General features: G+C 45.1%; 1 protein-coding gene and 1 long non-coding RNA gene across 4 annotated transcripts in view, besides 2 other annotated features; both read left to right on the top strand.

The window, feature by feature from the left end:
- The window catches only part of XYLT1 (xylosyltransferase 1), a 369,192-nt gene that overhangs the window by 32,465 nt on the left and 316,594 nt on the right, over window positions 1-20,133 (top strand). The gene's annotated exons all lie outside the window — the stretch shown is intronic.
- Window positions 8,581-8,744: a silencer, noted in NCBI's record as "fragment chr16:17523609-17523772 (GRCh37/hg19 assembly coordinates)". NCBI's record gives its function as "represses an EF-1alpha promoter that drives an FKBP-Casp9 reporter gene in an ReSE screen in phorbol 12-myristate 13-acetate-treated (for megakaryocytic differentiation) K562 erythroleukemia cells {active_cell/tissue: K562(+PMA)}" and the evidence as "EXISTENCE:reporter gene assay evidence [ECO:0000049][PMID:32094911]".
- Window positions 13,834-19,515, top strand: LOC124903654 (uncharacterized). The gene is made up of 2 exons (XR_007065008.1): window positions 13,834-18,721; window positions 19,383-19,515. It is a non-coding gene; the product is annotated as an uncharacterized LOC124903654 (long non-coding RNA).
- Window positions 14,721-15,457: an enhancer, noted in NCBI's record as "OCT4-NANOG-H3K27ac-H3K4me1 hESC enhancer chr16:17516896-17517632 (GRCh37/hg19 assembly coordinates)". NCBI's record gives its function as "activates a minimal SCP1, AML or CMV promoter by ChIP-STARR-seq in naive and primed H9 embryonic stem cells {active_cell/tissue: H9 hESC(naive and primed)}" and the evidence as "EXISTENCE:reporter gene assay evidence [ECO:0000049][PMID:30033119]".

The following is a 20,133-nucleotide window of genomic DNA, read 5'->3' as shown; positions in this document are numbered from 1 at the left end:
AAGTATCTGACAGTCCTCCACTCTTACGTAGCGTATGTTTAATCTGGCCTCCACTTAACATTTACCTTGGCCATAGTTGCCCCAATGAGGACATCAGTGTCCCATACAATAGGCTTTTTTGGTGAAGTACAAGAGTAGTGGTCATTCATGCTATCTCTTACCTTCACAATTACCATATTGAATGAAATAATGGCTATAAAAATGCTATGGGTTGGGTCAGCCACCAAACCAAAGTTAGGGGAGAGCGCTATTAACATCATCATCTTCTTCCTGTTTTCCTCTGCGATTAGGTTCGTCTCACAGATGCCTGATCTCATCTGTGGGGAAATTCTAGAATTGCAGACCTTTTTAAATATTCTCCCTCTCTGGCCATTAAGGGCCCCTTAGTGGTTTTGGAAACCAGTGCTCCTTCCTTCTACCCAGTGGGAAAGGTTTTCGTCTTTTCCATTTCTTTAATCCTTTCTCTCTTCCTGAATGTTCCATTCGCATTTGATGTGAGGGTTTTTCTTCTTCTGATAGTTTGTAATTTTGGTTCCTCTGCAAACCTCAAGAATTCTGTTGGTAAGTATGTATGATCCCGTCCAGAAAGGCTGACTGCACCGTGCGGCAACCAGTATTCAGCCTCTTTGCTGCAAATACTGCTCAGTATGATTTAGCTTTGAGGACATGATGCTGGAGTTCAGGAAAGTGAACTTCACTGTATTTTTTAAACTTGCCAGATTTGTGTTCCTAAACACTTTGGAGAGCTCCTCCTGCCTCCCAGAACAATTTTCTGTAATTGGTGCATGGGGAGAGGTATTTTGAAGGAGCGATCTGATTCCTCCTTCCCTCTCTTCTCTTTATCTAAACAACCGCTCCACGAACAGTAGGCTGTTATTCTTGTTGGACCAGGTGATAGCTGTGCAGGGTGGCGTTTCAAGAGACATGTAACTCTGAGCATTGCAATGTAGATACAAGTGCATTCCAAGCAGATGTGGGTGACATCGTGCACATTGGCTTCACGTGGGACCATTTCCTGGAGTGGCTCCAATAAACATTTGGTACAGATAAAGATTGCTTGTCCCCAAATGCCTTCTTGGCTTCTGTGGAGCCAAATACGATTGGAGGCGGAGGATGCCGGGTTTGAAAAGTGGGTTTCTGTGGCCACATGTGGGAGTTTAGCCCAAGGGAATGGTATTAAAGTGGGAAGCCGGCAGCTTGTACCCTACACGGGCCCAGATGGTTCCGGATCTCTTGCCTTCATGTCTGAGATGTCTGGATTTTGGCAAGCATCGTTTTTTTTCTTTTTTCCTTATCATAATTGGTGTTCTTTGAGTAAAGTGTTCCAAATGTAGTCTAAGGACTGAGAGCCTCAGACAGATGGCCTGAGTTTAGAGCTCGGCTTCACTCAGTTTTCGGATCTGTAAAATGGGACCCATACTGTTTACCTGCCACAGAAGGTTCTCATGAGGATTCAATGAGCTAATGCAGGTGGATCATTTCGCACAGGTCTGGCCCCCAGGAAGGACTCAAGAGGGTCAGCAATTACTATTGTTATCATCACCCATTTCACATGCATGGCTGTGTGGACTTTCTCTCTGGGAAACCCATATGTTACCCAGTGAATGGAATAAGTCTTCACTTCTCTCACGCCTGTGTAAGCCAAACAGTTCCAGAAGACCTTGCTCTTCTGTATTGTCAGCGTAACAGAAATGCTAGTTTAATAAAAAGGAAAGCACCAGTGGAGATGTAAATTGTGTTTCTGAACTGTTATGTAATTCTCCACTGCATCTCATTTAATCATATTGTATTGAGGTCATGTCTTAGCTCTCTGGTCATTTGAAGTAGATTCCCTTTTGGACTTCTATCCCTAACTCTAAAAAATTCCTCAGGGTAAATTTCTGCTTTCCATTTTTATAGAATGACCTCGTTCCCAACCCGTAGCTTAAAAGCTGAATGTGATTGCAGTAGCTTTAAATAAGATGATCAAATTCAGTTTCACCAATGCTGCCTGGGCCCATACTATGTGCCATCCACGCCCCTACTATGTGCCAGCCACGGTGGTAGTGCTGAGATCAGACCACAGCAAACTCCTGAAAGCAAGGCGATATCATGGCAATGAGTGGGGACTCTGGAGCCAGACAGCCTTGGTTCAAATCCCTTTACCCCTTCCTGTCTGTATGACCTTGGGCAAGTCACTTCATCTCTCTGGGCCTTGACATGCTCATCTCTTAGACCGTGTAATTGTCTTTTCTCACACTGCTAATAAAGACATACCCGAGACTGAGTAATTTATAAAGGAAAGAGATTTAATTGACTCGAAGTTCTAACATGGCTGGGGAGGCCGCACAATCATGGCAGAAGGCGAACGAGGAGCAAAGTCATGTCTTACTTGATGGCAGGTAAGAGAGCATGTGCAGGGGAACTCCCATTTATTAAACCATCAGATCTCATGAGACTTATTCCCTACCATGAGAACAGGATGGGGGAAACGGCCCCCATGATTCAGTTATCTCCACCTGGCCCCGCCCTTGGCATGTGGGGATTATTACAATTCAAGGTGAGATTTGGGTGGGGACACAGCCAAACCATATCAGTGGAGACATTACTACTACTTCCTGCCTTTAGTTGGAAGTAAATAAAGTCATGCATTCTTCATGCCTCCTATAGTACATACAAATTCTTCAGTAACTGCACAACATCTACCCCAGCTGCTCACGGGTGATGTAAGATGAAAATAAAGTCAATGAGAGAATCCTTGGAGGATTCAGCCCTGGAGAGAGGGCACCAGGTCTTTAGTATACCAGGTTCCCTTTGGCCACCTGCTGGAGCCTGGCACATAGTAGGAACTTTGTAGATGTCGGTTGAATCAATGAAGACTCCTTAGACTTTTTTTTTTCCTTCTCATCAGGAAGCATTTACCTTCACAAGCTCTGAGGCCCAACTTAGATGTAACCAAACCCACAGCCACCTTCAGGCAGGGACAGAGCCTGAAATAGCCCAAAGGGCCCTCATCACGTACACTTCTTCGTTTACTGCAGCTGCCGTTGCCTTTTTTAAAAACTTGCTTGTGTCGTAGAAGAAAGTGACCAGATAATGGATTGCTGGGTTCTTGTAGGGGGTGAGGGGACAGTGTGCCTTGGTAAAAGAAGGTTCCAGAAGGCCAAATGGCTTTCCTTTAGCTTTATGTGGGGCTCTGAGGCCCGCTGTCAGCCCCTTTCCATGCATTTCTGCTTTGGAGTCTATTTATGTGAAAAGTCAGTGAATGGAGAGTTCTGTGCGTGCTTCCAGGACAGATCCCAGGAGGAAGGAAATGGTTCTTAATGTACTGACACTTCAGCCTGGTGTAACCCCTGACTCTTGCATATGGTGCGTGCCACGCCGGACCTGAACCATGTACGCAGAAGGCATCTTACAGGCATCTCTGCCTTGTTGCCTGGGAAGTAAGTGGCCTGTCCAGCCCTGCCAAGAAAGAGCCAGCTAGGAAAGATGAACTAAGGTGTGTGCCATGAGTGCATGGGCCAAGCGTCACTGAGCACCTCCTGTGAGCTAAGCATGCTTTCTTCTTTCATCTGCATTAAAACTCCACACCTGTGTTGTTGGGATTGCTAATTCCATTCTTCTTCTTCTTCTTTTTTTTTTTTTCTTAGAGACAGGGTCTCGCTCTGTTGCCCAAGCTAGAGTGCAGTGGTGCAGTCATAGCTCACTATAGCCCTGAACTCCTGAACTGAAGAGACCCTCCCACATCAGCCTCCCAAGTAGCTGGGGCTACAGATGTGTGCTACCACACCTGGCTAATTTTGTAATTATCAGTATTATTTTTGTAGAAATGGGGTCTTGCTATGTTACCCAGGCTGGTCTCGAACTCCTGGCCTCAAGTGATCCTTCTGCCTTGGCCTCCCCAAGTTTTGGGATTACAGGCATGAGCCATTGTGCCTGGCCCCATTGTTTTTTTAAATGATTAACTTGAGGGTTACAGAGAACTGGCTTATTCAGGGTTGCTAAGCCTGATCTGTTTTGTTTATAGCTCACTTTTCTTAATAATTGTTTTGTTTTCAGAAATGACAAGTAATGCATCTTCATCATTGCATACTTACGAAAGACAGAAAGGCATTGTGTGGATAACAGACTTTCTCTGGCTGTTGCCAGAAGGAAGAGGGATGTGGAGCGAGGTGGTTCCTGGAAGGAAATCCTGTAATTTACTAGCAGGTGATGACACGCTTGTCACCACCTTCTTTGTGGATGGGACATGCTTCATTCTGACCCTTCCCAGAACTTTTCCCAAAACATCATTTGACATTGATGATGATGGAGGCAATCTGCAAAGGTTGGTTCCAGGGCAGAGGCGGGAGTTTCTGAGCCAGAGTGGGTCATTCCCATGCTGTCCACTTAGATAAAGCCCTGGCTTAGAAAACCCCAAACACACTGAAGTGGATACTGTAATGGGATTTATGCAATACTCTATTAAGGGCAAACCCAGTCCCATAAATACATGCCCGAAATTCAATCTGCCAAATGAAACGTTAAAGGCGCCAAATGGATTTCTCGAAAGGATCAGAGCTAAGATGTAGTTTGCCTGCTCTTGATAAGCTTATCCAGCCTTGCCGCTAGGAATGAAGGAAAAAAAAGCGGGGGTGGGGGAACAGAGTTAAGGATTTTACTGTATTCTCCAGTATCTTAGATATTTTCTTTTTCAATGAAAGGGGAGAAGGAGATTATCAGGCCTCTGGCTGTGAAGCTAGTGTTCCTGATTCAAATACCTTTGAGGCTATAGAGGAAATGCTGTTAAGTCCCTCGCTGGAGCCCAAATTCCATTCTTCAGACCCCAAAGCCTCCTCGGCGGGGTTCCTTCTGTACCTGGTAGGCTCAACTACCCAGCACCCAGATGACCAGGGTCATGGCTGGACCCACTTGTGGGCCATCCCAAGTCCTAGTTTCTAGCCCCAAGTTCTGTCTTTGACCCTGAGCTGGCTGCTACCATCATGCGTGTTTGTGGATTCTGAAGTGGGCTGGGGGAAGATGGCCACTGCAGACACTGTGGATCATTCTAGGCAACCCTTCCCGACCGTGCTTCCTTACTTTTTATGATTCTCCCATCTGCTGGAAATATTGTTTTTCCCAAAAAGGGGATGTTGCAATAGCTCAACATTTCTTAAGATTTTCTTTCTCCATCTGGAGGCAAGCCAAAGGTATATCACTAGAGTTTTCATTTCCTTCCAAGCACATGGGAGTTTTTTCTGCCATCAGAGTGTGACCTCAAAAGAGTCACTTTTCGGGGTGATAGCATGGTTCAAAAGACATGGCTTGTTGGGTGGGCATGGGAGTTTTGGGCGTGGCTGCATGTGGGGCGAGGTGAATTTGGCTCTCCACTTAGCAAGTTTTCTCTTCCTTTTTTTTTCTAACACAGCTGATGGGCTGAGCCTTTGTCATCATTACCGTCACTCCTGATTCCCATTCTCCTCAGGGCTTAGGTCTTTGGAAGCTCCTGGGCTGGGATTGGGTTGGGATTGGAGGCTGTGGGTTTGGAGGCATCTTCGAGGGCACTGCCCGTCTCTGCCCGAGTGATGCTCTGACCACAGATGAATTCATCGTTCACTGTAAAAATCAAATACGTGGCCCTTGCGTGTTTTTTTTTCCTCTTTTGACAAGACAATTGATGTGCCATCTCCAGCGTATCTGCTTGGGTCGGAAGACTTGCTTTAGCCTCCTCTAGAACAACCAGCGTGTCTTTGGGTTTATTGCAGTCTACAGGATCTCTATGTTATTTAAGGACTAGAGAGGTGAGCGATGAAAAAGGGAAAGATATAATGGGAACCATTTTTTTAAACAACTTTATTGAGATGTGATTTACATACTGTAAAATTTACACATTTCAAGGGTTCTATGCAATAATTTTTAGTAAACTTACTGAGCTGTGCAACCAACACCATAATCTAGTTTTAGGACATTTTCATAACCCTGATAAGACTCCTTATGCCAATCGGAGTCCATTTCCAGGCACCCGCTAATCTGCTGTCTCTATAGATCTGCCTATTCTGGATATTTTATATAAATGGAAGCATGCAGTATGTGGTTTTTGCACTGGCTATCACGTGATGTTTTTGAGGTCTATATGTGTAGTCGTATATTGCTGAATAGTATTCCACTGTAAGGATATACGGCATGTTATTTACTAATTCACTGGCTGATGGACACTGGGTTTTTTCTGCTTTTGGGGCTGTTGTGAATAACGCTGCTATGAGCATTTGCATAGAAGTCTGGGTGTGGACATATGTTTTCATTTCTCTTGGGTAGATTCCTGGGAGCAGGATTCCTGGGTCACATGGCAAATTTATATTTAACTTTTTAAGAAATCGTTGAAGTGTCTTCCAAAGTGGCTGTGCCATTCTGCATTCCTGCCAGCAGTGTTTGAGTGGAACCAGCCATTTTTTTTTTATCTTCTTATAAACTGGATGGTGAAGAGGTTTATTAAATACCGCTGTGTGTGAAATACAACCATTGGTATCTGCCTGTGGGCAACAGACCCTCACTGGGGCCTTGATAACACACAGGAAAAGCCTCCACACCGGTTTCACATTATATCCCCCAGCAAAATTCAGAGCTTCCAGACCCCAGAAGGATCCGCAGCCATGGCTGCTTCTCCCTTCCACCCTCCAGTCTTGCTAGCCACACACCCCTGCAGTCCATCTCCTTCCAAAAAGGATTCGCTTTTATAAAAAATGCTCTGTGTCACGCTGTTGCTAATTTAGCAACTTTATTGGACAACGTGATTTACCATCCATGGCCTGCCTTCGAATGGATTCGTTTACCTGCATTGATCGCTATATGTCCGTGTTAACTGCCACCAGAAAATGCACAGCGGTGGTTAAAAACGGTGTAGCATTTTGCTTTCTGATAATGATAGTTAACTCCATCCTTGATCACCAATGACATGGTATTCCCCTTCTGAAGATACACTTAAATTGCATAACTCTGTTCCTTGGTGATGAGAAAATAAATTACTTTTCTATACTGTGTTCTGCTAAGTGCTTCTTAAATTTGGGTTCTTTAGTAGGTTTTCCTTCTTTTCTTTTCTGGGGGTGCTCTTTTGCTTCTCAAAGTGGGGTCCTTGGACACGCAGCCTCAGCATCCCCTGGGGACTTGTTAGGAATGCAGAATCTCAAGCCCCACTCCCGACCTTCTGAGTCAGAATTTGCATTTTCACAAGATTCCCAGGCGATAGATGTGCACGTGAAGTTTGAGAAGCGCCGCTCTAAGCCATAGGTCAGCAAAATAAGGCCTTGAAGGACACATCCAGTCAGCTCAGTGTTTATATAAATAAAGCTTTATTGGAACACAGCCACGCCCACTCGTGTATGTGTTGTTTTTTGTGGCTACTCAGCATTCCACTGCAGAGCTGAGTAGCTGCCACAGAGACTTTATGGGCTGCAGAGCCAAAAATGTGTATTCCTGGATCTTTACAGAAAATGCTTGCCCACCTCTGCTCTGGAGATGGTTTTATTTTTATTTACTTATACATATTTTAAATTACTAGCTTTTTCATGTTTAGCTTTTCTCATTTTGCATTTATTATACATTTTGGGTCATTCTACATTTCTTTTTTCAGCTAAGTTATGAGTGCTGTTCAGCCCCAGTTTACTTTAGATACTATCTCTTAGAATGAGATAATGAAAATTAAAAGAAGCTCAGGCTTCAGGTTCTGGTCTACAAACTAAAAGGTTTTGAGGATCCCTGAGGTGGCTGGTTAGCTCTGTTTTTATGTCATTTTATTTTTTGCAAGCAAGGGGGTTCATGGATTGTGAATCTGGAAGACCATATGTAAACATTCACAAATTAGGGTGGGGAAAAAAAGAATTCCTTTGTCAGATCATAGGGTCTGGTTAGGTTGGGAAAATACAGGGAGAGGAGCCATGAGAGGCACCCTGGAAAGGGAAGCAGGCAAGACTGGGGGCCCCTCCAGGAATGGGCCTGCACTTGGTTTAATGTTCTGCTGCCGCCATCTTGAAATTTATAATTTTTGAACAAGGCACCTGTATTAGTTTGGTTCTCCAGGGAAACAGAACCATGTACAGGCTGAGTGTCTCTTAACCAAAGTGCTTGGGACCAGAATCTTTGTGCATTCTGGATCTTTTCAGATTTGGGATATTTTGTGTTATACTTACTGGTTGAGCACCCGTAATCTGAAATTCTGAAATCCAAAATGTTCCAGTGAGCGTTTCATTTGAGCATCATGGTGGTACTCAAAACGTTCTAGATTCTGGAGCATTTCAGATGATTGGGTTAGGGATGCTCAACCTGTGTATTATAATCCCAGCACTTTGGGAGGCTGAAGTGGGCAGATCACTTGAGGTCAGGAGTTCAAGACCAGCCTGGCCAACATGGTGAAACCCAGTCTCTACTAAAAATACAAAAATTAGCTGAGCGCGGTGGTGGGCACCTGTAATCCCAGCTACTTGGGGGGCTGAGGCAGGAGAATCACTTGAACCTGGGAGGCAGAGGTTGCAGTGAGCCAAGATCACACCACTGCACTCCAGCCTGGGCGACCGAGCAAGACTCTGTCTCAAAAAAAAAAAAAAAAAAAAAATTATTATGGGAATTGGCTCCCATGATTATGGAGTTTGGGAAGTCCCTGCAGCTACTCTCTGCAAGCTGGAGACCCAGGAAAGCTGGTCATGAAATCCAGTCCCAGGCCAAGGGTCTGAGAATCAAGGGAGCCAATAATGTAAATCCCGGTCTGAGCTGGAGAAGGTGAGATGGATGTCTCAGCTCACGCAGTAATGCAAGAAAAATAAATTTCTTTCTCTCCCTCTTTGTGGGCCCTCCATCTACTGGCTGATAACCACCCACATTGGAAAGGGCCATGTACTTTACTGAGTTCACCAGTTCAAATGTTAATCTCGTCCAGAAACACCTTCACAGATGCACCCAGAAGTCATGTTTAATTTGGGCACCCCGTGGCCCAATCAAGTTAACACACAGAAGTAACCATCCTCGCTGCCACTTTTGTTTGACATGAGGCCCTACAACTTAATGTAGCCATTTCTGGAAGATGGTGATTGGAACAAAAGAACTTAAGAATTCGCCATCCTTGGAGGTGAGAGCAACATACTTGCCGTTGAGTTAACCTGCGGCAGAATTATTTTGGGCCAGTGATTTTATTGCTGTCGCATTTCTCATCAGCAGTTCAACAGGTTTCTTGGCTGTCTTTCTCTTACCTTACTCTGTTTGTGGCAAGGAAAGAAAGACCATTTTTAATGATTTCTTGAATTAAGCAGTTAGAGACTTAAGCCTGCTTGGACAGAGGGGGTTTCAAAGTGAATTTCGGATTATCTCCAGTTAAGGATGGCGTTTGATCCTCACAACTTGAAGGTAATTACTTTCAGGGGATGTATGTTGCTCCTTTCCCCCTGCAGAGGTAGAGTGAGAAATGCTGCTTTTCAAAGACGGGTGCTTCTTAAAGAAATTGGGCTCCCATCCCCTTTAGGTTTGAGGTCCCTGAGTCTTTTGAGCAGTTGGGGTTTTTAGGCCACAGGTCCCTGTGGAAGCTTCCCAATGGCCCTGCATCCTCCTGATCCCTATGGGGAGGCATTTCATCCATTGACCCTGCAGGTAGCTGATTGAGTCTGAAATAGCAGCCTCCCAGCCCAGCAGGGACCAGAGTAAAGGAACATTTGCTGTAATTTCTTTCCTCCTCCCTCTCTGAAAGATTGTTAATCAGGAACCTTTTGGAAACAAAAAATAAAAGGAAAGCAAGAAAAAAGAGACCTAGTTTGGTGAACCCAGTGGAAAACTACCACACGGCCGAAAGCTTCCCGAAACCCCTGGCGGCAAGGGGATGTCAGTTGGTGAGTGGGCTGCGGCTACAGATGTCTCAAAAGCTCAGACACATTGATGACAAGAGATGCTTTTAGCACTTTTGGAGAGACCAAAGGACTTTTGATGATCATCATTATGACTGTAAATAATTATGCATTTGTAATCAGAGCTGTGACCATTTATTGAGCATCTAGCATGGGTCAGGTCCTGGGCCAAGTCAGGTGCATCTCTTAATTCTCTCAACAGCCCCTCAGCCTGGCTCATTTTATAGACAGGAGTCTGAGGCTCTCAGATTTAACATGGTCAAGAGCACACAGCTGGAAAGTGACAGGGTCAGGTGTAAGCTCTGCCGCCAGAGCTTGTGCTGCACCCTCAAGCTGTCCTCTGTCCTCACTGTCCTGGTCAAAAGCTACTCCAGTCCTGGTGCAGTGGCTCATGCCTTTAATCCCAGCACTTTGGGAGGCTGAGGCGGGCAGATCATCTGAGGCCAGGAGTTCAAGACCAGCCTGGCCAACATGGCGAACCTCTGGCTCTAGTAAAAATACAAAAACTAGCTGTGCGTGATGGTGTGTGCCTGTAATCCCAGCTACTCAGGAGGGTGAGAATCGCTTGAACCTGGGAGGCAGAGGTTGCAGTGAGCCGAAATCACACCACTGCACTTCAGCCTGGGCGACAGAGTGAGACGCTGTCTCAAAAAAATAAAAAATAAAAAGGTCCTCCAAACCCCCGCCTCTCCGGTAGTACTGTCAGAAGTTAGGTGTGGATTGAAATTAATGAGGTTCCTATAGGTTTGAACTCTAAACAATTGTTTCCCAGAGTGTGGCTGAGATGATTTGAGGTGGTAGACAGGTGAACGTTTTAAAAAAAAAAAAACCTTTTTGTATTTAAGTGAAATGTATGTAGCTGGCTTATTAAACCTGTGATTTTAAAGTGAACTAATGGTTCCTTTTAAAACACGAATGTAAGAGAAGAAACAGTGAGTCTTTTAAATACAAAAAAGAGTGTGGGTAGGATACATGTGGATGCTGATTCAGCTGTTGTAGAAGCATCTTCTGTGCACATTTGGGCAACCTTGTGTTGGGGATGTGGGGTGACGCATTTGAAAAGCAGAACTTGAAGCTGGGAGTGATGGTTCACGCCTGTAATCCCAGCGCTTTGGGAGGCCAAGATGGGAGGATCACTTGAGTTTGAGACCAGCAAGGAGAACACAGTGAGGGTCTGTCTCTACAAAAAATAAGAAATCAGCCAGGTGCGGCGGTGCACACTTGTAGTCCCAGCTACTCAGGAGGCTGAGGTGGGAAGATTGCTTAAGCCTGGGAGGCTGCCGTGAGGCGAGATCGCACCACTGCACACCAGCCTAGGTGGCAGAGCCAGACTCTGTCTCAGAAAAACCAAACAACAACAAAAGGCAGAGCTTGACTTGGAGATGTTGTTCGTGGTGGCAAAGAAGTCTTGAGCCAAGCGTCAACATTTTAGACTTCCTCATTCATGATGGTGGTGCTATCGTCCCTTCTCTTCCGTGGACACGATTTCACCACTTGCTGCCCAAATCCCAGATACCTTCGCTGCCTTTCAGAATTATTCATGAGTGTTAGCAGGAAGCCCTTTCCACAGCTTGTGAGATTCCCCATCACATGGGCTCTGCCTACCATGATGCCTGATTTTGTATCATTCACCACCTAATTACTCCCAAGCCACACTCTCCTTTCTCTGTCTCTATCCTGCCTCAGGGCCCTTGCACTTGTTCCTTCTTCTATCTGGGATGCTTTACCCTATATTTTTGCATGGCTGACACCTTCTTAGTATTCTGGTCTTCACTCAAATGTCATCTTTTTACAGTGGCCTTCCCTTTTCACCCTACTTAAAGTTTTTCCTCTCTCCTTAGTCATATGAGAGGTCTGTGAATGTTTTCTGTAAAGGGCCAGACAGGAAATATTGTAGGCTTATGGGCCATAGGGTCTCTGTTAAACCTACTCAGCTCTGCCATTGTTGGGCAAAAGCAGTCAGAGGCAATAACTTAGTGGGCGTGTCTATGTGTCAATAAAACTTTATTTACAGAAACAGGTGGTAGACTGGATCTGACTCACTGGTCAAAGTTTGCTAATCTCTGCTCTATGCTATTGCCTTGTTTTGTTTATTTATTTATTTTTTGAGATGGAGTCTCACTCACACTTTTTCCCAGGCTAGAGTGCAGTGGTGAGATCTCAGCTCACTGCAACCTCTGCCTCCCGGGTTCAAGCAGTTCTCATGCCTCAGCCTCCTGAGTAGCTGGACCACCACGCCTGGCTACTTTTTGTATTTTTAGTAGAGTCAGGGTGTCACCATGTTGGCCAGGCTGGTCTTGAACTCCTGACCTCAGGTGATCCATCTGCCTCGGCCTCCCAAAGTGGTGGGATTACAGGTATGAGCCACCGTGCCCGGCCGTAATGCTATTGCCTTGTTTTATTGTTGTCATAAATTTATCACTATCTAAAATAATCTTGTTTATTTGTATGTAACTTTTTCTCCCCGTATCTAGAACATAAACCCCATGAGGACAGGAATCTGTCCTTTCTTCTTCTTTAATGTGGTATCCTCAGTCCCTAGCACTTAGTATGTGCTCCATGAATATTTGTTAAACAGATAGATACTGTCATTAATGGGATTCCTGAATTTATTCATTCTCCAGACATGCATTGCTCACTTACTTTGTTCCTTACAAAACATTGGGAACAGATCTCGTGGCAAAATACACGTATAGACATGGAAGTGGTCATGGTACCACATGACGTGCTAAACGAGGTAGGAAGTGGCACAGGGTGGCGGGACATTAACTTTCTGGAAGTTACAGGTGGCTTCTTGGAGGGAGCGCCATCTGAGCTGAGTTTGAAGGATGTATTTAAGGTATTTGGTAGGCAGGAAGGAGCAGGAAGGGCATTCAGGACTCAGGGAACAGCCTGGGCAAGGCACGGAGGCAGGAACCAGCCTGGCTGTGTGCTGGGGGAAAGAAAACCATTCAGGGTGGAATAAATAAGCCCAGGTGTAGCAGCAGGTGGAATGAACAGCAGCAGGAAGTTGGAGACCCTATTGGATTACTTTCCTATGAACAATTAACAAAGGGCCTTTCCTGAAATATGGGCTTGGGTGCCATGTGTTTAAATGTGAGCTTTGGTTTCTGGGAAGCAAAATGTTACATTGCTACCTAGAAGTGTAAGAAGAATTATTTGTCCATGGGTCTGGTGAAAGCTAATACACCTTCTTGGTTGATTTAGCCTCAACTATCTAGAGTGGGTCGACATTTGGAAGGGAGCTGCATGGTGTCCTATATAATTGGTAGGTCCAAGAAAAATGGTTTCTTGGCTCTTAAAATATATAGACGATGTTAATGAGCAGCCTTCTGGGTCTCACCCTACAATGCATCTAAATGCCATCAGTTGTCAGTGGGGAGTTAAGCACACAGCAAAGGGCAGCATCTGGCTACGGAAGGAAGTTGGGGGAATTGCAAGCGCTGAGTAAAATTTTATTGAGGTGGGCCAGCCCTGCTGTTTACGAGGTGCTTCAAGGGAAATCATGACCTGCAAAGCTAAAGACCATTCCTCCTTACCACCCTGGTGTTGGGAACCGTCCCCAAGACTGCAGGGAGTCCACCTCCAACTTCTAAGGCTTGGCCAAACCCTAATGAGGCTGGAGCCAAGTTCAAGGGTGGAGGCTGATGCCACAGGAGGTTACAGGAGAGGGAAACAGATGCTGATTCAGCACCTAAAATGTGCCAGGTGGTGGTGATGTCTGTACCTACCATGTGGTACAGTGTCGGGGTGTGTGTCCACGTATCTTTTTTTTTTTTTTTTTTTTTTGAGATGGAGTCTTGCTCTGTCACCCAGGCTGGAGTGCCGTGGTGCAATCTCAGCTGACTGCAACCTCTGCCTCCCGGGTTCAAGCAATTCTCCTGCCTCAGCCTCCCGAGTAGCTGGGATTACAGGCACCTACCACTACAGCCAGCTACTTTTTGTATTTTTAGTAAAGACGGGGTTTCACCGTGTTGACCAGGATGGTCTGTAACTCCTGACCTCGTGATCCGCCTGCCTCGGCCTCCCAAAGTGCTGGGATCACGGCATGAGCCACCGCACCCGGCTGTGTCCACCTATCTTATTTTCTTGGTGTTTCTACAGCATCCACATAACACTCCCCGGTCATGGTTTATTTACTTCATATTTTTCTTTGCATCCACTCACTTTTTACTTAGCTCAACCTAAGCTATAATGTCCATAAAATCATGGTCTTCATGAAGCCTATCGTCTTCTCATACATCAGCATAAATACATAAGTATTGGAATTTGTAATGAAAGGTTTGTTCATGAACCGAATGGAATAACTTGTGGGTGCCATTTGTAGCCTACTTGGCCTTATCTTGTTCAGTTCTCTCAGGTTTGCTAGAAGGTGTCCTTGCTTTCATTTGACAGGTGAGGAAGTAGAGAAGTTTAGACAGTCACTTAACATCACACAGCTAAGAAGTGGCAGAGTCTGGATTGGGACACAGATCTTTTTGGGTTTTAAAGCCCAAGTTATTTGCATCAGCTTTTCAGAAGAAGTAAAGGGTGGATGATGACCGAGTGTCTCCTGGGTTGGATGGACAGATTGAGAGCTTGTAAGAACAGGCATAAATGGTTAGATGAGGCCAATAGGACTTCCTGCCCCTTCTTGGGAGGCAGAGATGACTTTGGCCACGGTCCTATAGGTTCCCATGGATTTTGCTATAGGACTTGCTTATACTATGAGAATTGCTCCTGGGTCACCACTGCTGTGGCATGATGAGCCTGTAGTCATCTCATGAAATAACAGTAATCCTTTGGGAGGCCGAGGCAGGGAGATCACCAGGTCAAGGGATCGAGACCATCCTGGCCAACATGGTAAAACCCCGTCTCTACTAAAAATACAAAAATTAGCTGGGCATGGTGGCATGCACCTGTAGTCCCAGCCACTCAGGAGACTGAAGCAGGAGAATCGCTTGAACCTGGGAGGCAGAGGTTGCAGTGAGCTAAGACTGAGATTGCACCAATGCACTCCAGCCTGGTGACAGAGTGAGACTCTGTCTCAAAAAAAAAAGAGAAAAAAGAAAGAAATAACAGTAATCAATATTGACTCCTGCACAAAAGCCCAGGGGAGTGAGGTTGTAGGGAGGACAGCACGTGGGATTGTCCCCACAGAGCCACTGCACAGTCCCAAGGATGACAGGGGGCCCCTCCTTTGTATCGCAGGCTGATTGGTATTCAGCCCTCAAGGAAGTGCCCTTGAGGAAAAAACAATCGCCTTAATGGGTTCTGAATGAGCCTTACTGCCAGCCATTGTTGGAAGGCCACAGGGAGGAGACTCAGCTGCCCCTGAGGAGTGGCAGTGATGGCCCAGTGCAGAGCTGATCCTGTGTTTTGGGGCAATTTCACATGAGATGAAACATCAGGCGCTGCTGGGGAGGCCTGCCGAGAAGGGCGGCCCCACTGGGCAGTGAAAGCACCTACTCCAGTTTAAGGGTGGAATCTTGGGGCAGAGGAAGAAGGGACCAGATAAAGTTGGCAAGCCCAGCGAGGTGTCCAGGATATTAGCAGGGAAGAAAAACCTCCTCTGGCAACGATAATCACATTGTTCCGTCAAATTCTTAAGTCATCGTTATTGAAGGTCCCACATTTGGATGACTGTGCTTCGACGTACTGCTAGTCTGTACGGGGACTTTGCAGGGCTAAAAAAGTCAGCCTCTTAGCAGAAGACCAGAGCTCACCGATGCAGGGCGTGGTGAGCAAAGCACTGGTTGGATTTCAGCCCCTATTTGCCACTTTGCGGTACACAAATCATACAACTATTTGCAGTGACCCCAAGGAAGATCTAACTTGTGTTTCAATAAAAAATATCTGTGAGGCCAGGCATGGTGACTCACACCTGTAATCCCAGTACTTTGGGAGGCTGAGGTGGGCGGATCACCTGAAGTCAGGAGGTCAGGAGTTCTAGACCAGCCTTGCCAACATGGTGAAACCCCGTCTCTACTAAAAATACAAAAATTAGTTAGGCGTGGTGTTGCATGCCTTTAATGCCAGCTACTTGGGAGGCTGACAGGAGAATCGCTTGAACCCAGGAGGCGGAGGCTGCAGTGAGCCAAGATCGCACTACTGCACTCCAGCCTGGGTGACAGAGTAAGACTCTGTCTCCAAAAAAAAATAATAAAGTAAAATTTGTGGGCCAGGCACAGTGGTGCATACCTGTAATCCTAGCACTTTGAGAGACCAAAGTGGGAGGATCACTTGAGTCCAGGGGTTTGAGACCAGCTTGGGCAACATAGTAAAACCTCATCTCTATGAAAAATTTTAAAAAATTAGCTGGGCATAGTGGCACACACCTGTAGTCGCAGCCACTCAGGAGGCTAAGGTGGGAGGATGACTTGATCCCAGGAGGTTGAGGCTGTAGTGATCTATGATCATGTTACTGCATTCCAGCCTGGGTGACAGAGCGAGACCCCACCTCTACAAAGATTAAAAAGTTAGCCAGACATCATGGTGAAACCCCGTCTCTACTAAAAATACAAAAAATTAGCCGGGTGTGGTGGTGGGCATCTGTAGTCCCAGCTACTCGGGAGGCTGAGGCAGGAGAATGGCGTGAACCCGGGAGGCAGAGCTTCCGGTGAGTGGAGATCATGCCATTGCACTCCAGCCTGGGTGACAAAGCAAGACTCCGTCTCAAAAAAAAAGCTAGCCAGACACGTAGACCTAACTACTTGGAAGGCTTAGGTGGGAACATTGCTTCAGCCCAGGAGTTCAAGGCTGCAGTGAGCCAAGATTGCACCACTGCATTCTGGCCTGGGTGATTGAGTGAGACTCGGTCTTGAAAAAAAAATGTTAACAGTTCTCTGGTATTCCATAATAAACTATCTGAAAACTGAGTGGCTTAAAACATTAATTTTGTTTTGTTCCTAATTTTGTGGATCAGGACCTTAGGAAGGGCTCTGCTGGGAGGTTTGTCTCGGCTCCATGTGTTGTCCACTGGGGCTGGAGGATCCACTTCTAAGACTTTATCGTCCGTCTGTCTGGTGCTTTGTTCCTCCTTGACCCCTCTGTCTGTTTCTCTCCAGGTAGCATCAAGCATCTTCCTGTGGCTTGATTGTCTCACAGCTGGATGGCCTCAGGGTAGTGTCACTTCTGATGTGGTGGCTGGCCTCCAGCAGGCAGGAAGGTGGAAGCTGCCATAAAGTTAAGGGCTACACTTAAAACTGGCACAGCATCACTCCTGCCATATTCTGTTGCTCAAAGCAGTCACAGGGCCTGTCCAGATTCTAAGGACGGGAAAAATAAGTCCCACCTCTTGAAGGGATGGGGGTGGCAAAGTCACCTTGCAGAAGAGCATATGGGATAGGAAATATAGCTGTGGTCATCTTTGGAAAATGCAGTCTGTCACTCCTTAATTGGCAGGGATTTTTCAGGAGCCTTGTAGTGATTCTCCTATCTTAGACTGCCTTAGAATCCCATAAAAAGAATAATGACAGACAAAGCACAGGCATGTTCTCCTAAGATCGAAATATATGTCTGAGTCTTGATTTTCCATGGCTTCTCCATGGAGTCCTAATGATTGAGCTGTAAGGTTACTCTAATAAGGTAAACAAGCTGGCGGAGTAGAAATAATCCCAACACAAGTCACAGCTGTGGCAGAAGGGAAGCCGATATTAATACATGCATACCTGTGGTGGTGCAAGAGTGGTTGACTCGTGTTTGGTGTTTGGTGTGGGCCCAAAGACAAGAGGATCTAGCTTGGACCAACTCATCTCCCATCCAAGCATTAGAAATCTGAAGTGTGTTTTATTGAGTCCAGCAACAAAGATTCAGTTGCTGAAATGGAGACAGATTCAGACAGTAAGGTGATGTTTTTGGTTGGAATTTTCTTCAAAGCTAAGCCCTGGGGTCATTATTGGGCATTAGTCTCCCTTTAAAAATATGGTGTAATAAATGACATGCACACACATTCAATAGAAAGAACATTTGCACCCTTCGCAAAAAAAAATCTGAATAATTAGCCTAGTACATTTTTTTGGATAGTGCTAAACTTCACAAAGAATAATAGGAAGAGAGGTTGCATATTAATTATATTTGGAGAGGAGTTGCCTTGTTCTCTTGAAGTGTTCCAGATAGAAGAAGCCTTGGATAGCAACCGAGTCCTGGCTACTTAGCTATGACTATGAGCAGGTACCTACCCTGCGTCTCCCTTTATTCACCTATAAAATGAAAAAAATTACCTAACCCTGGGACTCTTTTAGGTATGAAACAATGCAATACAGTTTTTAAAAATTGCTTTGTGAGTTCAGAAGTTCTTTACCCATTGAGCCATTATTGCTAATAATAATTAGCGTAGCACGTTTCTGTTGCCTAAGAATTAACATTAGCCATTACTTCCTGGCTCATTTAAAAATATAATTTATAGGGTCTATCATTTCTTGAAAATACGAAATTAAAAAATTATGTGTATAACTCTAGCATTACCTAGGGTTTGGGCACAAGCTATAATTTGGGCACTTGTGGCTTATATACACATTAATTAAATTATTTTTGCTAGTTTTGGATAACGTGGGTAGCACTTTCTAAGATGAAAGGCTTGATCCTACAAAGACAAAAGAGCAAGCCATTAGATGATATTTTGCTGCTTTGAATAAACTTCACCCAGTCATTGAGCCCTATTGAATGGACTAACAGTAATGAGTGGATTACTCTCCTTCCAATAGATTTTGGATTCATTATTTATCAACAAATAGTTCTTTGAGGGCCAGTGAGGGGAAATTATCCTTGCTATGAGTGACCCAGTGGTTTCCTAACTCCTGTCTCATGGAATGTTCCTGCCTTCATGAACTAGCCAAGGTCATTCCATACTCAAATCAAAGGAAGCAGGCTCCCTCTCTTTCAATTTACAGAAGGAAAAAGAGGTCCATGGATTAGCTTTTCCCTATATTAAGTGTTTTTTGTTTTGTTTTGTTTTACTGTAACTTTTTCTTATATTTTAGAAATCTGAACCCATTTCAGCATGTGAAAATGCAGTGAAAGATGTTGTCTAAAATGCAAAATTAAAGTACCAAGAGTCATTTCAGTCAAAGGCATTGCCTGTTTCATTGAGTTTACAAACTGCGTGGCTACTGCTAAATTGAAAGGCCACTGTATTATGCTGTGTACCAGGGATGGGCGAATCTGGCCCACTGCCTGTTTTTGTAAATAAAGCTTTATTGGAACACAGCTATGCCCATTCATTTACCTATTGTCTATAGCTCATGCTATAACTGCATAGAGGGCATAGAGACCCCTGAGCTATGTCAATGAGTGTAATGACATAAGAGCAGTCTATCTTTTTTTGTTTTTGTTTTTGAGACAGGATCTTGCTCTGTCGCCCAGGCTGGAGCGCAGTGGTACCATCCTGGCTCTCTGCAGCCTCAACCTCCAGGTCTCAAGCGAGCCTTCCACCTCAGACTCCCGACTAGCTGGGACTACAGGCATTCACCACCATGGATGGCTTCACGAACTAGCCAAGGTCATTCCATACTCAAATCAAAGGAAGCAGGCTCCCTCTCTTTCAATTTACAGAAGGAAAAAGAGGTCCGTGGATTAACTTTTCCCTATACTGCGTGCTTACTGCTAAATTGAAAGACCACTGTATTATGCTGTGTACTAGGGTTGGGCGAATCTGGCCCACTGCCTGTTTTTGTAAATAAAGCTTTATTGGAACACAGCTATACCCATTCATTTAGATATCGCCTACAGCAGCGCTCATGCTATAACTGCAGAGAGGGCATAGAGACCCCTGTGCTGTCAATGAGTGTAATGACATAAGAACAGCCTTTTTATTTATTTATTTATTTTTTGAGACAGGATCTTGCTCTGTCACCCAGGCTGGAGTGCAGTGGTACCATCATGGCTCTCTGCAGCCTCAATGTCCAGGTCTCAAGCGAGCCTCCCACCTCAGACTCCCAACTAGCTGGGACTACAGGCATTCACCACCATGGATGGCTTATTTTTGTATTTTTTGTAGAGACAGGGTTTTGCCATATTGCCCAGGCTGGTCTCAAACTCCTAGGCTCAAGCAGTCTACCCACCTTAGCCTCCAAAAGTGCTAGGATTATAGGTGTAAGCTACCACACCCAGCCTCAAGCTACTTTTTTTTTTAACTCTGAACTTTTTTCCAGGCATGACAAGCAACCAAAGCTGCCATTTTGTTGTGACATGGCTCTGTCTGAATATTGTATTCTTCCTCCCAAACCTGCATCAAATATGATAGGCTGGAAATAAAATGGTTTTATTGTTTTTAAGGGAGCATTAGGCTATGGTTAAAAAGAAAAGAGAGGAGGAA

Source organism: Homo sapiens, chromosome 16 (assembly GCF_000001405.40).
Source record: "Homo sapiens chromosome 16, GRCh38.p14 Primary Assembly".
Lineage (NCBI taxonomy): Eukaryota > Metazoa > Chordata > Mammalia > Primates > Hominidae > Homo > Homo sapiens.
The sequence above is the reverse complement of the archived record's forward strand: the minus strand, read 5'-3'. Positions and strand labels throughout refer to the sequence as shown.